The 15,593-nt window shown below is 46.7% G+C and overlaps 1 protein-coding gene across 27 annotated transcripts in view, besides 4 other annotated features; it reads left to right on the forward strand.

Annotated features, from left to right (window-relative positions):
- Positions 1-13,353, forward strand: part of MX1 (MX dynamin like GTPase 1) — a 38,657-nt gene extending 25,304 nt beyond the window's left edge. For 9 of the 27 annotated variants that reach the window (XM_017028349.3, NM_001144925.2, XM_047440769.1 and 6 more), the window contains 5 exons: positions 139-280; positions 3,276-3,434; positions 5,306-5,382; positions 6,760-7,008; positions 12,667-13,353. In XM_017028349.3, the coding sequence (XP_016883838.1) occupies positions 139-280; positions 3,276-3,434; positions 5,306-5,382; positions 6,760-7,008; positions 12,667-12,897 (858 nt within the window). In that variant the 3' untranslated portion in view covers positions 12,898-13,353. Of the gene's footprint in view, positions 1-138; positions 281-1,252; positions 3,435-5,305; positions 5,383-6,759; positions 7,009-12,666 lie in introns of those variants that run through there. The other 18 variants (NM_001438334.1, NM_001438335.1, NM_002462.5 and 15 more) reach the window with 5 other exon arrangements.
- Positions 6,334-7,533: an enhancer, noted in NCBI's record as "CDK7 strongly-dependent group 2 enhancer chr21:42824122-42825321 (GRCh37/hg19 assembly coordinates)". NCBI's record gives its function as "activates an origin of replication core promoter dependent on BRD2, BRD4, P300/CBP, MED14 and CDK7 cofactors, with strong dependence on CDK7, by STARR-seq in HCT116 cells {active_cell/tissue: HCT116}" and the evidence as "EXISTENCE:reporter gene assay evidence [ECO:0000049][PMID:35650434]".
- Positions 12,329-12,830: an enhancer, noted in NCBI's record as "H3K4me1 hESC enhancer chr21:42830117-42830618 (GRCh37/hg19 assembly coordinates)". NCBI's record gives its function as "activates a minimal SCP1, AML or CMV promoter by ChIP-STARR-seq in naive H9 embryonic stem cells {active_cell/tissue: H9 hESC(naive)}" and the evidence as "EXISTENCE:reporter gene assay evidence [ECO:0000049][PMID:30033119]".
- Positions 14,023-14,112: an enhancer, noted in NCBI's record as "active region_18480". NCBI's record gives its function as "activates an Ori minimal core promoter by ATAC-STARR-seq in GM12878 lymphoblastoid cells {active_cell/tissue: GM12878}" and the evidence as "EXISTENCE:reporter gene assay evidence [ECO:0000049][PMID:35858748]".
- Positions 14,653-14,852: an enhancer, noted in NCBI's record as "active region_18481". NCBI's record gives its function as "activates an Ori minimal core promoter by ATAC-STARR-seq in GM12878 lymphoblastoid cells {active_cell/tissue: GM12878}" and the evidence as "EXISTENCE:reporter gene assay evidence [ECO:0000049][PMID:35858748]".

The raw sequence follows: 15,593 nt of genomic DNA on the forward strand, positions 1-15,593 counted from the left end.
TTCTTTCCCCTGATCCACAGTGTCCCATAAGAAAGCAAAGAATGACTCCCCACCCTCCACATAGGCACGGCCTCCAAATGACCTTGACACTTGGATTTGAAGTCTATCCACTTATACTGATGTTTTTCTTCTTGACAGAAAGTTAATGCCTTTAATCAGGACATCACTGCTCTCATGCAAGGAGAGGAAACTGTAGGGGAGGAAGACATTCGGCTGTTTACCAGACTCCGACACGAGTTCCACAAATGGAGTACAATAATTGAAAACAATTTTCAAGAAGGTGAGTGTCTTAGTCCCTTCTTTTGGGCTGCTACAACCGAATACCTGAGACTGGGTCATTTATAAACAGTAGAAACTTATTGCTCATTGTTCTGGAGGTGAGAAATCTATTCTTAAGGAATCAGGAAATTTGGTGTCTGGTGAGAGCTTGTTCTCTGCTTCAAAGATGGCACCTTCTAGCTGTGTCCTCTCATGGGATAAGGGACGAACAAGCTTCCTCGGACCTCTTTTTTACAGGGGTACCACAGGCATACCTCAGAGATATTGTGGGTTCAGTTCCAGACAAAAAGAATATTGCAATAATGCAAGTCATATAAACTTCTTGGTTCCTGGTGCATAAACAGTTCATTTATGCCCTACTGCAGTCTATTAAGTATGTAATAGCATTAGGCCTAAAAAATATGTATGTACCTTAGTTTAAAACACCTTATTGCTAAAAAATTGCTGGTACAGAAACAAAAAGTGAGCATGTGCTACTGGAAAAAAATGGTGCTGATTTGCTTGACATGGGATTGCCACAGACTTTCAATTTGTAAAAAATACGGTATCAGTGAAGTGCAATAAAACAAGATATGCCTGGAATGCCATTATGCGGGCAGAGTGCTCATAACCCAATCCTTCCTAAAGGTCTCCTCTGTTGATACCATCACACTGGGGATTAAGTTTCAACATAGGAATTTTTAGGGGACACCAACATGTAGACCATAGCAATGAGTCAATACCGTGGTAAACCTGATACGTTGGCTTAAGACAGAGAAGAGTGGGGCAGTTGGGGAGGATGGTCAGGATAAGGAGCTAGTGACAACTAAAGCCATGTTTGCTCTCTTCTATATCACTGAACCCAAATGACCATCCACTGATGAATTGATAAACCAACTGGCTTGTGTCTGTGTGTAGCGGTTGGCTTTGGCTGTCATAACAAAGTACCACAGACTTGGGGGGGCTTAAACAGTAGAAATTTATTTTCTTACAGTTCTGGAGGCTGGAAGTCCAAGATCAAGATGTTGGTGGAGCTGGTTCCTTCTAAGGCCTCTCTCCTTGCCTTGCAGATGGCCTCTTCTCATTGGGTCCTCATGTGGTTGTCCCTCAGTGTGTGTGTCCTCATCTCCTCCCACAAGGACACTAGGCAGATGGGATGAGGGCCCACCCTAGTGACCTGATTTCAATTTAATTACCTCTTTGCCTGTCTCCAAACACAGTCAGATTCTGAGTTTCTGAGGGTTAGGACTTCAACATTGGAGTTTGAAGAGGTCACAACTCAAGCTCAGCCCGTAACACCAAGTCCTGGAATATTTCCAGCCACAGACAGGCACAGAGTGCTGGTCCACAGCACCCCATGGATGAACCTTGAAAATGTCATGCTGAGTGAAAGAAGCCAGCCACAAAGGCCACACGGTCTATGATTCCATTGATAGAAAATGGCTAGAACAGGCAAACCCAGGCAGGCAGAAAGCAGAATAGTGGCTGCCAGGGGCTGGGGAGGGAAAAGTGGGAAGTTATCACTGATGGGTGATGGATGTGGGGTTTGGGAGTTATGTCTGGGGATGGTCGCACAACTTTGTGAATATACTAAAATTCACTCACCCATACACTTTTTTTTTTCTTTTTCTTTGGAGACAGGGTCTCACTCTGTTGCCCAGGCTGGGGTGCAGTGGCTCAGTCTCGGCTCACTGCACCCTCTGCCTCCCAGATTCAAGCGATTCTCCTGCTTCAGCCTCCACCTCCCTAGTAGCTGGGATTATAGGCACCTGTCTAATTTTTGTATTTTTAGTAGAGATGGGGTTTCACCATGTTGGCCAGGCTGGTCTCGACCTCCTGACCTCAGGTGATCACTGGCCTCAGCCTCCCAGAGTGTTGGGATTACGGGCGTGAGCCACTGTGCCTGGCCTGAACCATATATTTTTAACAGAGTGAATGTTATACTATGTAAATGACATCTCAATTAGAAAAATCCTTATGGGAAAATATTTCCTGACTAAAAAAAGTGTTCTAGATTACCACTCAAAAAGGAACTCAAACCCTCTGAACTTCTGATGGGGCTAACTCTCTCTAGTGTGGATTGTTGGGAGTACAAATCATTCCAAAAGTTTAAAGAAAAATGCAGCATCTTACACAGTGAACAGTGCTACTGTATCACATTCATACAAGTTGATGTGCCTGGTTTACTCTGTTATCCCATTTGACTTGTAAACACTTTCTACACATGGCAATACTTTCGACACATGAATATGTGATGTATTGTTAATTCCAGAAAGTGTTCATGCTCATTTCTAATGGGCATGCAGTTGAGGGCAAGGAGTGTATTATGGTACAATTTCTTTGGTAAAACTAAAATTGGATTCACAAAACTTCATACTCGAGTACGTTTTTAAGAAGGGGTCTTGGCCGGGCACGGTGGCTCACGCCTGTAATCCCAGCACTTTGGGAGGCCGAGGCAGGTGGATCATGAGGTCAGGAAATTGAGACCATCCTGGCTAACACGGTGAAACCCCGTCTCTACTAAAAATACAAAAAAATTAGCCGGGCGTGGTGGCGGGTACCTGTAGTCCCAGCTACTTGGGAGGCTGAGGCAGAAGAATGGCGTGAACCCGGGAGGCAGAGCTTGCAGTGAGCTGAGATCACGCCACTGCACTCCAGCCTGGGTGACAGAGCGAGACTCTGTCACAAACAAACAAATGAAAAAAAAGGGTCTTACTCGAAGTTTCTGCGTATGTGGGTTCCTGGCATCGTACCTGGCTCTGCACTCCCCTTCCTGAGATGACTAAGGAAAATTATCTTCAGATCTGGTTTTGTGTGTGTGTGTGTGTGTGTGTGTGTGTGTGTGTGTGTGTGTGTGTGTAATCCCTGGATATTTTTAGTTTACCAGTTAGATTTGATTTGATACCACTTTTTCTTGCCATTTATATTTTCAGAAAATTTAGAATGGTATTGTGTTTAGAAAAATGTGCAAGATTATTTTTGTAAAATAATTTAGAGGGTTTTTTTTCCTGCTATAGGCCATAAAATTTTGAGTAGAAAAATCCAGAAATTTGAAAATCAGTATCGTGGTAGAGAGCTGCCAGGCTTTGTGAATTACAGGACATTTGAGACAATCGTGAAACAGCAAATCAAGGCACTGGAAGAGCCGGCTGTGGATATGCTACACACCGTGACGGGTGAGTGCTCAGTTTCACCTCTGAGCATTGATTTCTAAAGAAAGGAAAGGTTCGAACCAAAGCCAGCACCAAACTTCAGCACTTTCCTCCTGGGGTGCATCCCACACCAACGAGCAAACCTCTCATTCTCCAGATGCCAAGTTGGTATTCAACAATTCAATTCAATTCTGACACTAACTACCCTCAGTCAGTGTGGACCCCATAGCTTAAGGGCTCAGTTCCACAACACTGGCCCCAACTACAAATGCCGGTCACAAGTCCCAGACCTCCTATTCTTCTGATGGACTGTTTATAAATCAAGGTTCTTGCGACCCATTCCTCAGGTCAACCAAGAACTCTGGAACACACTTCACTGACATTTACTGGTCTATTAGAAAGGATTTGATAAGGGGCACAAATGAAGCTGTTGGAGAGGCACATAGTAGGGGCCTGAACACAGAAGCTTCTGTCCCCACGGGGTTGGGGGCACCATCCTCATGGCACAGAGATGTGGTCATCAACCAGGGAGCTCTTGGAACCTCACCGCGGAGAAGGTTTTATGGAGGCCTCATCATGAAGGCATGATGGAGGATTGACTCAATCTCCAGGCCCTCCCTCCTCTGTGGAGCTGGAAGTTCTAAGTTTCTAGCCAAGGCTTGGTCTTTCTAGTGCCCGGCCCCAATCCTGAAGCTATGTAGGGGCCCACCAGGCATCATCTCTTCAAAACACGAGATACTCCTAAGGCTGGACATTCCAAGAGATGTAGGGGCTCTATGTTAGGAAATGGGGACAAAGACAAAATATTTATATTTTTCCTATCACACCACACCTCCCCCCTGCTCCACTGCTATGCTGGCTTCACACTCAAAATCGGCTGTTTATTTGAAATCTCCGAGGAGTAAAGCCAATGGTTCCATAACTGCACGTGTAGATGTGTTTGGAACCTTTTGGAGTGCTGTAGGAATCTAGGTGTGTCACGGATAGGTAGGAAACTAGATCCTACTGTGGATCCACTCCCTTCTTGAAATGCTTTGCTTTCTTGGTTTTCCAGGTATTAAATCTCTATTCTTCATCCTCTCCTTGACTGACAGTATCCTTACTCACACTTCAGCTGCCTCATCTTAGCAGTAATTAATAATCACTCATGGATCCATGAACTAAGGAGCTGGAGATAGCCTCAGAACAGCTCATTCAGAGGTGTATTTCCAGTAAAATTGACCTTTTAGCCCTGATAATCATATACCAAAACCTGCAATCATGTTGTTTTGGTCCATTGTAGACTCTTAACTCATTCCAGAGGAAAGTTTATAATACTTAGAGCCTTATAGTCATAAAAATCAACATAGATATACCTATTTCTTTTTCAGAAATGTATGACATGGAGATCAATAAGAGGTTTTCAATCATAAAGATACTATACCTTGTATTACAATAAAATTCTGTGAGGAAGTAGAATAGAAATGAGTTTCAAAAATAAAAGATAAATAATATAAATTTTTTAATCTAAGAGCTTGTTCTTGTATTTTTTTCAAATGGATAATGTAGACACTCAAATTCCATTGATATATTTAAGAGTGATTTGACTTATATTAAGAGTTGTATTATAAAATATTAATATTTATAATTTAAAAGAAATTACATTCTTTGCAGCTATTTAGGATAAAAAGTTTAAATATCAAATAAATGTATGCCAGGGGTCATTTGCTTTTAAGATTCTTCCAGCAAATTATTAAGCAAAAAGAGCATGCCTTGCTTTTTCATGGTAAAGAGAAGAAGGGAGCGGGGAGAGGGGAAACTTTACTTCATACCATTTGATCCTCATATTTTTTTGCATCTTAAGAAGAGAACAAATGATCCTACCAATATTGAACTATTTTTCTCTCTTTGATTAGATATGGTCCGGCTTGCTTTCACAGATGTTTCGATAAAAAATTTTGAAGAGTTTTTTAACCTCCACAGAACCGCCAAGGTAAAACCAACCATGTGTTGTTTAAAAAAAAAAAAGAAAAGAAATTAAGCTTGACACTAGAAAATAGATTTCTTGGATGAGGATTATTTCAACTTTATTGTATACTTTTAGAACAGCAAATAACATCACTCACTAGTGCTTCTTCTGATGTTACCGGTGATGTCTGGTTAAAAGCAATAAAGGAGGGAGTGCTTAAACGCACAGAACAAGAGATCCACAGTTAGCGGAGAAGATTATCACATCTAAGGGCAATGGCTCCAAATCCAGAAACTCACTGAGGAAACTACATATAAAAATAGAATATTTCTGGCCCGAGTGGGCATGATGAGCCTGTAATCCCAGCACTTTGGGAGGCTGAGGCCGGTAGATGACTTAAAGCCAGGAGTTTGAGACCAGCCTGGCCCACATGGCAAAACCCCATCTCTACTAAAAATACAAAAAAGTAGCTGGACGTGGTGGTGCATGCCTGTAATCCCAGCTACTTGGGAGGCTGACACTTTAGAATTGATTGAGCCCAGGAGGTGGAAGTTGCAGTGAGCCAACATTGCATCACTGCACTCTAGCCTAGGCGATGGAGCGAGACCCCGTCTCAAAAAAAAAAAAAAAAACAAACAAAAAAACTTTCCATCCAGAGTGAGGAAAGAGCCTACAGGAAATGAGCCTGGGGGACAGACTGGGCCAAGAGACCAGACTTAGCCACTCTTAGAAATAGGTGTCCCCGGCACAGATGAGGAGCCTGGCCCCATGATTCACCAGCTGGAGGCCTTGGGATGTGCCACTTCCAGCCTGTGCCCCTGACTCCTCATTCATAAAAGAAGACTGATAAGGCCTTCCTCAGAAGGTTGAGATGGACGTGGAGTAAGATGTTTAGGATGCACCTGCCACTGTGCACTGTGCCTCTCCTCAAGGCCTGGAGGGTCCAGGGGTGAAGTTTCTCCTCCTCAGGTTTTGGCAACCAGTTTCTCTAAACCCCGGGAACATAAAACATAATTTTCTGACTTAAACATGGCTTTCCTGCTCATCCCTGTGGATTATCTGATGGATATGACAATCCTCGCCATCAGATATAGAAGCCCCTAAAAGAGAAAGGAAAGAAGCTGAGTTACGGGGCCTGAAAGCAAGCCTGTGCAGGTCCCCAGGCCCCGGGATGGGGGTCCGGCCCATCTGTGGCTCAAGCCTCCTGGGAAGCTCTGACCCTCAGCCAGGGCTAGAAACCTGCCTTAGATACACCAGGGCGCGGCCCAGAGGGCTGTTCCAGGAAACGTGCTGTTTCACTCACGTTGGGTAACCTGGTATTTACGGACTTCTTACCTACTTTCCTGTGACTCAGGAATTTGTGTCTTGAGGGAAACTGTATTTATTTATTTTTTACTGTAGTCCAAAATTGAAGACATTAGAGCAGAACAAGAGAGAGAAGGTGAGAAGCTGATCCGCCTCCACTTCCAGATGGAACAGATTGTCTACTGCCAGGACCAGGTATACAGGGGTGCATTGCAGAAGGTCAGAGAGAAGGAGCTGGAAGAAGAAAAGAAGAAGAAATCCTGGGATTTTGGGGCTTTCCAGTCCAGCTCGGCAACAGACTCTTCCATGGAGGAGATCTTTCAGCACCTGATGGCCTATCACCAGGTACGTCTTCGCGTGGTTCAGGATGCCAGCTTCCATTCTTTCCTTTTCTTCTGAACGCCTCTCTCTTTAGTCTTGCTCTCTCTGTAGGTGACGTTGGTCAGCTCTGTCGTTTACCTCCTTGTTAGCCTCCTGTATTAGTCCATTTTCATGCTGCTGATAAAGACATACCTGAGACTGGGCAATTTACAAAAGAAAGAGGTTTAACGGACTTACAGTTCCACATGGCTGGGGAGGCCTTCTACCATCACGGCAGAAGGCAATGGGCACTTCTTACCTGGCGGCGGTGGCAAGAGAGAGAATGAGAGCCAAGTGAAAGGGGTTTCCCCTTATCAAACCATCAGATCTCATGAGAGTTACTCACTACCATGAGAACAGTATTGGAGAAACTGCCCCCATGATTCAGTTATCTCCCCCTGAGTCCCTCCCACAACAGGTGGGAATTATGGGAGTACAATTCAAGATGAGATTTGGGTGGGGACACAGAGCCAAACCATATCGCCTTCGTAGAAGCAGCTCAACCTCAGACAGAGAGATGGTGGCTTAGAGCCAGTGACATCTGGTTTTGATGGCTGTCTAGCTCTGGCCAAGTTACTTAACCTCTCTGAGCCTCAGCTTTCTTTGTAAAATGGTGTCTCCTCATAGATTCTAGTGCATATTCCAGGAGACGAGTGTGGATGATGATAATGGATTGCTAATGGAAAAACCAAACTCTGTTAAAATATTTGAAAGAGGTTTATTCTGAGCCAAATATGAGGGACCATGGCTCTGGGAACAGTCTCAGGAGGTCCTGAGGAAGTGTGCCTGAGGCTGTCAGGATGCAGTTTGATTTTATACATTTCAGAGAGGCAGGAATTGTAGGTAAAATCATAAATCAATACATGGGAGGTGTACTTGCCCTCCCTAAAGAGGCAGGACACCTTGAAGGAGGGGGAGCTTACCGGTCATAGGTGGGTTCAGAGATTTTCTGGTTGACGATTGCTTGAAAGAGTTAAACTTTGTCTACAAACTTGACATCAATAGAAAGAAATGCCTGAGTTAAGGCAGTGTTAGAGGCCAAAGGTATGTAGATGAAGACTCTGGGTAGCAGCCTTCAGAGAGAATAAATGGTAAATGTTTCTTTTCAGGCCTTAGAGGCAGCAGGCTCTCAGTTAATCTCTCCTAGATTCAGGGAAGGCCTAGAAGGGGAGAGGTCTGACTGCATTAATGGAGATTCTCTACAGGTGCAAATTCCCCCCCCACAAAACATGGCAGGGCCATTTCAATCTGTTGGTCCTGTTACAGCCGTTTCAAAATATGTCCACAAAATATATTTTTAGGTAAAATATTTGTATTTCCTTTAGGGTCTGCAATCTGTCTTGTGATGCTATACCAGAGTCGGGTTGGAAAGTAAGCCATTTTATACTGAGTTCATGGAAACTCATCCAAGGAGATTTCATGGTTTGTGGGGTGTGTGTGACTTAACCCCTGCCTCACATGACTTTATAATATGGTATCTTACTACTCCAGAGTCTTTTTGGCCAACCTTATGATCTCAATTTCAACCTAAACTCCAAAAGGGCCTGGCTTCTCTTCCTGTTACGGCCAGGAATTCAGATTTTCAGGTTTCTCTGGGGTCCACTTGGCCAAGAGGGGGTCTGTTGAGTTGGCTGGAAGGCATAGGATTTTATTTCTGGTTTACAACAATTTCCTTAGTGCAGCATTGGAATGCAATGGTAGCAGACTAAATGGAAGCTATCGCGTAGACACATGCTTTGGTTGATACTGCACGATTCAGTTAACCTGAAGTACAATCTAATTCATCCTAGGGAAGGAGGCAGTGAACACAGACACAACTCAGGTAGAGCCCTTGGGATGTGTAAACACCTGAGGAGGTAAAGCAAATTGTAATCTCTCGGTTTATCAGATGTCCCCATTGCCTTACTATTTGGATGCTTTAAAGCAGGGCCTCTCAAACTCCACCCAGCACAGAGGCCTCCTGGGATCTTGTGGAAATGCAGATGCTGATTGCAGGTCAGGATGAAGCTGAGATTCTGCCTTTCTTTTTTTTTTTTTTTTGAAACCGAGTCTCACTCCATTACCCAGGCTGGAGTGCAGTGGCACAATCTCAGCTCACTGCAACCTCTACATCCTGGGTTCAAGCAATTCACCTGCCTCAGCCTCCCAAGTAGCTGGGATTACAGGCTTACCTTGCCACCATGCCTAGCTATTTTTTCTATTTTTAGTAGAGATGGACTTTTACCATGTTGGCCAGGCTGGTCTTGAACTCCTGACCTCAAGTGATCTGCCTGCCTCGGCCTCCCAAAGTGCTGGGATTACAGGCGTGAGCCACCATGCCTGGCCTCTGCATTTCTAACGGGCTCTCAGGGGTCACCATACTACTGGATAGAGGCCACACTTGGAGGAGCAAGGCTCTAAACCGAGGGTCAACATCCATTCCTCCAGACACTGGGAGCTGCATGCACGTGAGTGAAGCCAGTTAAGGGGAAGACAGGCATGCACATCAGCTTCTCCTGCAGCCAAGCTCACACCTGTCCGCTGCTTCCACTGCCTCCTAGAATGAACAGTTACCTTGAGAGTAGGTGAGGCATATACATGCACAGAATCCAAACAATAGGATGAGTGACAATGGCAGAGGAGTCTCCGAGCCAAGCAGCTCCCTGGACAGAAGCAGCCCTTCTCCGGGTTCATTTCTGTCCTCCGAGGCTGACTCATGCACTCAAAAGCTCCCATGCATATACATTTTATAATGGTTTTTACACAAAGGTTAGCAGAGGAGTGGACGTGCTGCTCTGTACCCTGCCTCTTTTGCTGTACCTGGGAGATTGTTCTGCCTCAGTTCTGATGGGGCTGCCTTGTTCTTTTCAATGGCTGCTGAGTATCCCATTTTATGGATGTGGTATATTGAGCCAGCTCCCTTTAAGCGAACAGTTTGTTTGCAGTCTTTTGCTAATGCAGGTGTGTTGCTGTGAATAGGTTTGTTTGTATATCATGTATCTGGAAGCATCAATTCCTAGAAATGAGATTCCTGGTATATTAGGATTGTGCAGGGAAACAGAACCACAGATATATGTATGTAAAGAAGTATATTTCAGCCAGGCATGGTGGCTCATGCCTGTAATCCCGGCACTCTGGAAGGCTGAGGTGGGTGGATCTCTTGAGGCCAGGAGTTTGAGACCAGCCTGGCCAACATGGCGAAACCCGGTCTCTACTAAAAATACAAAAAAATTAGCTGTGCATGGTGGCCCATGCCTATAGTCCCAGCTACTTGGGAAGCTGAGATATGAGAATTGCTCGAACCTGGGAGGCAGAGGTTGCAGTGAGCCAAGATCACACCACTGCACTCCAGCCTGGGTGACAGAGCGAGACTCCATCTCAAAACAAACAAACAAACAAAAAACAAAACAAAACAAAAAACAGAAGGAAAGAAAGAAATATATGTATATTTCAAGGAATTGGCTTCTGCCATTTTGGGAGCTGGCAAGTCCAAAATCCCAGGGCAGGCCAGCAGGAAGAGCAGGCCAGAAATTGCAGCAGGAGCTAAGGCTGAGTCCACAGGCGGAATTTCTTCTTTTTAGGGAAACCTCATTTTTCTTCTTAAGACCCTCAACTGATTGGATGAGGCCCATCCACATCATTGAGAATGGTCTCCTTCACTTAAAGTCAGTGGGTTACACATGTTACCCACATCTACAGAATACCTCCGCAGCAATACCTAGATTCGTGTTTGATGGAATCACTGGGGACTCGAGCCTAGCCAAGCTAACACATGAAACACACCATCACAGCTGGGGAAAGGATGGCTTATTTTAGACTGATAAAGATGACCCAGAGAAGGCCTGCTCCATCCACACTGGCCGCTTTAGTCTGCACTAAAGTTGTTGGTTTTTTTTGTTTGTTTGGTTTTTTTTTGGTGACAGAGTCTCACTCTGTCGCCCAGGCTGGAGTGCAGTGGCGCAGTCTCAGCTCACTGCAACCTCTGCATCCTGAGATCAAGCGATTCTCCTGCCTCAGCCTCCTGAGTAGCTGGGACTACAGGCACGTGCCACCACACTCGGCTAATTTTTGTTTTTTCAGTAGAGACGGGGTTTCACCATATTGGCCAGGCTGGTCTTGAACGCCTGACCATGTGATCCATCCGCCTCAGTCTACCAAAGTGCTGGGTTTACAGGCGTGAGCCACCACGCCCGGCCTTGTTGGGGTTTTTTGACAGCCTAATAGGTGAAAATGACATCTCATTACAATCTTAATTGGCATTCTCTTATGACAACAAGCTGGTACATCTTTTTGTGTGTTGAGGGTTATTTCTATTTCTTGCTCAGCAAACAGTTCATCCAGGAAGAGCTTCTTGGTGAGATAGTAGACCTCTGCGATTTCTGTTGCAGACGATCTACATTTTGTCATTTGCTTTGTCATTTTTGTCTATGGTGGTTTTAGACTATGCGTAAGTTTTCTAGAGCAGAAACTCAAGTTGGATTTGGGCCTCAGTGGTTATTGCCATACTTTAAAAGGACTTTGTCTCCCTGAGATGATAAATGAGGTGGACAATATTTTCTTTAAGTAATTTCTTATTTTAACTGTTACATGATACCTTTGGCCCATTTGGAGTTCTTTGATGTCAAGAATGAGGCAGGATCCAGATGGCAGCAGAGGTCCCAGTCCCATCCTGGAAGGGTCGTCTAGTTCCCACTGGTACTCCACACGCCCACTCAGGCACTCACTTCCCCTCTGCGTTGGGTCTTGTCTGCAAGACTCTCTTATGTTTTACCATCTAGTGCAGCCAGCACCCCCACATCACCCTCACTTTTTCTTTCTTTAAATTGTGCAGAAATATTCATCATGTCTATTTTGCCATCTTAACCATTTGGGGGTACATAGTTCAGTGGCATTAAGTACATTCATATTGTGCCAGCATCACCAGCAGCCATCTCCAGGACCCTATCACCTTCCCACACTGAAACTCTGTCCCCATTAAACACATTCCCCATTCCCCGCCCCTGAATCCCTGACAGCTACCATCCTACTGTCTGTCTCTGTGAATTCAACTAACCTAAGTACCTCATAGGAGTTGTGACTGGCTTGTTTCATGCAGTATGATGTCCTCATCCAGGTGGTAGCAAGTGTCAGAGTTTCACGCCTATTTATTTATTATTATGAGACAGAGTCTTGCTCTGTCGCCCAGCCTGGAGTACAATGGCGCGATCCCAGCTCACTGCAGCCTCCCCCTGCCTGGGTTCAAACAATTCTCCTGCCTCAGCCTCCCATGGTGTGCCGCCACACCTGGCTATTTTTTGTATTTTTAGTAGAGACGCGGTTTCACCACGTTGACCAGGCTGGTCTGGAAATGCAGTTTTTGCACTGTCTGCCTGCTTACCTTTATAGAGCATATTTTGCCCTCTTCCATCAGAATTACCCATTTAATGGTCAGGAAAAGCTGCTGGGAATATGACTCATAGCTGGGACATTCTCTGCACTGTGCATAGTTCCTCTCTGCCACCACCATGGAGGAGATTGATGGGTTTGAAACCCAGGGGAAGGTCATTGCCCTGCGAGGGTCTCCCTCATTGAGAATCTGGATCCCCTCATGTGCACATGGTGAGGTCAGAGTCCCCTCCTCACAGTGTCCCCTCCACCCTCCCGTGAACTGTTCTTTCCTTCCAGGAGGCCAGCAAGCGCATCTCCAGCCACATCCCTTTGATCATCCAGTTCTTCATGCTCCAGACGTACGGCCAGCAGCTTCAGAAGGCCATGCTGCAGCTCCTGCAGGACAAGGACACCTACAGCTGGCTCCTGAAGGAGCGGAGCGACACCAGCGACAAGCGGAAGTTCCTGAAGGAGCGGCTTGCACGGCTGACGCAGGCTCGGCGCCGGCTTGCCCAGTTCCCCGGTTAACCACACTCTGTCCAGCCCCGTAGACGTGCACGCACACTGTCTGCCCCCGTTCCCGGGTAGCCACTGGACTGACGACTTGAGTGCTCAGTAGTCAGACTGGATAGTCCGTCTCTGCTTATCCGTTAGCCGTGGTGATTTAGCAGGAAGCTGTGAGAGCAGTTTGGTTTCTAGCATGAAGACAGAGCCCCACCCTCAGATGCACATGAGCTGGCGGGATTGAAGGATGCTGTCTTCGTACTGGGAAAGGGATTTTCAGCCCTCAGAATCGCTCCACCTTGCAGCTCTCCCCTTCTCTGTATTCCTAGAAACTGACACATGCTGAACATCACAGCTTATTTCCTCATTTTTATAATGTCCCTTCACAAACCCAGTGTTTTAGGAGCATGAGTGCCGTGTGTGTGCGTCCTGTCGGAGCCCTGTCTCCTCTCTCTGTAATAAACTCATTTCTAGCAGACACTGCTCTGCCATGTTTTGTATTTTGGCGAGAAGCCTGAAACTAGCAGGTAGGGTGCAGTGGAGCAGTGGACGTAAAGCTGCCCTCTGTGGCGGGGCCAGGTAGGAGCAAGCAAAAGAACAGGGTCTGATGATTTCCTAGAGACTGGAGGGAAATGGGGGAACACACTTTAAAAAATGAAACAATATGAAGCCAACGGTGCTAACTTAATAATGTGCATTGATCAAATGTCCAATTTGTTGAGTCACTGGGCACCTGGCATGGAGTTGAAAAGCACAAGGCCCAGTCAGGAAGCGGTTGCCAGGCCAGGTGCGATGGCTCACGCTGTAATCCCTTCACTTTGGGAGGCCGAGGCGGGTGGATCACCTGAGGTCAGGAGTTCGGGACCAGCCTGACCAATATGGTGAAACCCTGTCTCTACTAAAAATACAAAAATTAGCTGGGTGTGGTGGCGTGTGCCTATAGTCCCAGCTACTCAGGAGGCTGAGACATGAGAATTGCTTAAACCCGGGAGGTGGAGGTTGCAGTGAGCCCAGATCGTGCCACTGCACTCCAGCCTGGGCTACAGAGCAAGACTCCATCTCAGGGAAAAAAAAAGGTTTCCCAGTGGGACTTTACCTGCAGAGGCTGTGGCTGGGGGAGCGGTCTGGGAAGCAGAGAAGGCGGAACACTAACCTTGGAGGAGAACCTGACTGAAGTTCTCTGGTCTAGCCTGGTTGGGGGAGACTCGAGCCACACTCCTACGCCCTGACTCTGAGAACCATGGCTCCCAATCAGTGCTGCTGCTGGGCCTCCTCACCATGAGGCCAGGGCAGGCTCAAGGGCAGGAAATCGAACAGTGGACTAGATGGATGGGGCAGGAGAGGACCGGACACTCTGTCCCTTAAGGGGAGAGTTGAAGGATCAGGATTGCCCCAGCCTAGGAAAGAGAAGGCCAAAAGGCAACAAGAGAGATGAAGTGTGAGCACCAAGGTGTGACATCCTCTGGGGAGGTATATTCTAGATGATCAGTGTGGGGAATGGGGGTACTTTCTACAGAGGGGCCCCCGGATGGCATGGCTTCCTCAAGAGCTGTGAGGTCCCAGGCAGTGGGGGCATCAGGCCAAGCTGCACAGCTGCTTGTCAGGTTGGGGGTGGGGGCTGGACCAGCAACACCATCCTCTCCCCTCTGGACCACGCCCCCCCATCCCAGATCTCTTCTGACTCTTGGGACTGTGTAATTTTCAATTCTTCGGGAAGTTTGAGAATACATTTATAAGAGAGGATGTCCGGAGAGCAGTGGACATTTCACAAGCCCAGGTCAGCAGCTGCCGCTGGGCAGCAACTTTATGGTTCCCCCAGGTGCTGAAGTGCACCTGCAGGTTGACTTGATCTACTGTTAACAGAGGGTGATCAGTTTGACTCATGCTTAAGGGAGAGACGACACCAACACACACACAGAGGTTTGCAAGAGTAAGGCAGGGTGGATCCAAACATTCTTAATTCAATACTAGGCACGCGTTCTCGCAGTGGACATGGCCCAGGTCCTCTGGCTGTGTTGGTGCATCAGACAGCTCGGCCCTTCCATGAGGCAGGTGCCCTCTCGTGGCAGGCCTGGGAAACTTCTCCACTACAAGACGTCCCTTCCTTCCACCACCACCCAAATCAGTCTTCCACTTGCCTTAAGTTTCTGCTGCACGGGAAACAGAGTCAGAGGTGTCAAAGTGTTGCACAGGATTCTATTTTGCTGTTGTTAGAATTTTGCTAGTGATAACCAGAGAGGATGGAGGAAGAAAGTTGACAGTATGTGTCCCAGAGAACAGCAATTTCAATTTCCCCAGCAGAGTGAACCTGCTGGGGATGCCCCAAGGTGCCCGCAAGGATGTTCCTTTCAGCCAAAATGAACATGTGTGGTGATCCCCCAGGCCTGTCCTAACTAGTCATCCAGAGCCGAGAGGGGAGTGGCCCCAGCGGCCAGAACTGGGAGAGAGCCCTGGAGACCACTTTGTGTGACTCCTTCCTGCACTTAGAGGGGCCCTGAGTTCAGGCAAGCAATGGAACTGCCCCTCCCTACCCACCCCTCCATTCCCAGCCATGACGGGCAGCGCTGGCATCACACCCTGCTCTCCGGCTTCCGTGGCCTGCCCTGTAAGTGAGGCAGGAAAATCGAGTCTGGAGGCAGGAATGTAAGGCTGATTCACACTTCAACTCTAACAGGGACTATCCCCTCCACAGGGAGTATGCCGAGTAAATGACTTTGTAA

This window comes from Homo sapiens, chromosome 21 (assembly GCF_000001405.40).
Source record: "Homo sapiens chromosome 21, GRCh38.p14 Primary Assembly".
Taxonomy (NCBI): Eukaryota; Metazoa; Chordata; class Mammalia; order Primates; family Hominidae; genus Homo; species Homo sapiens.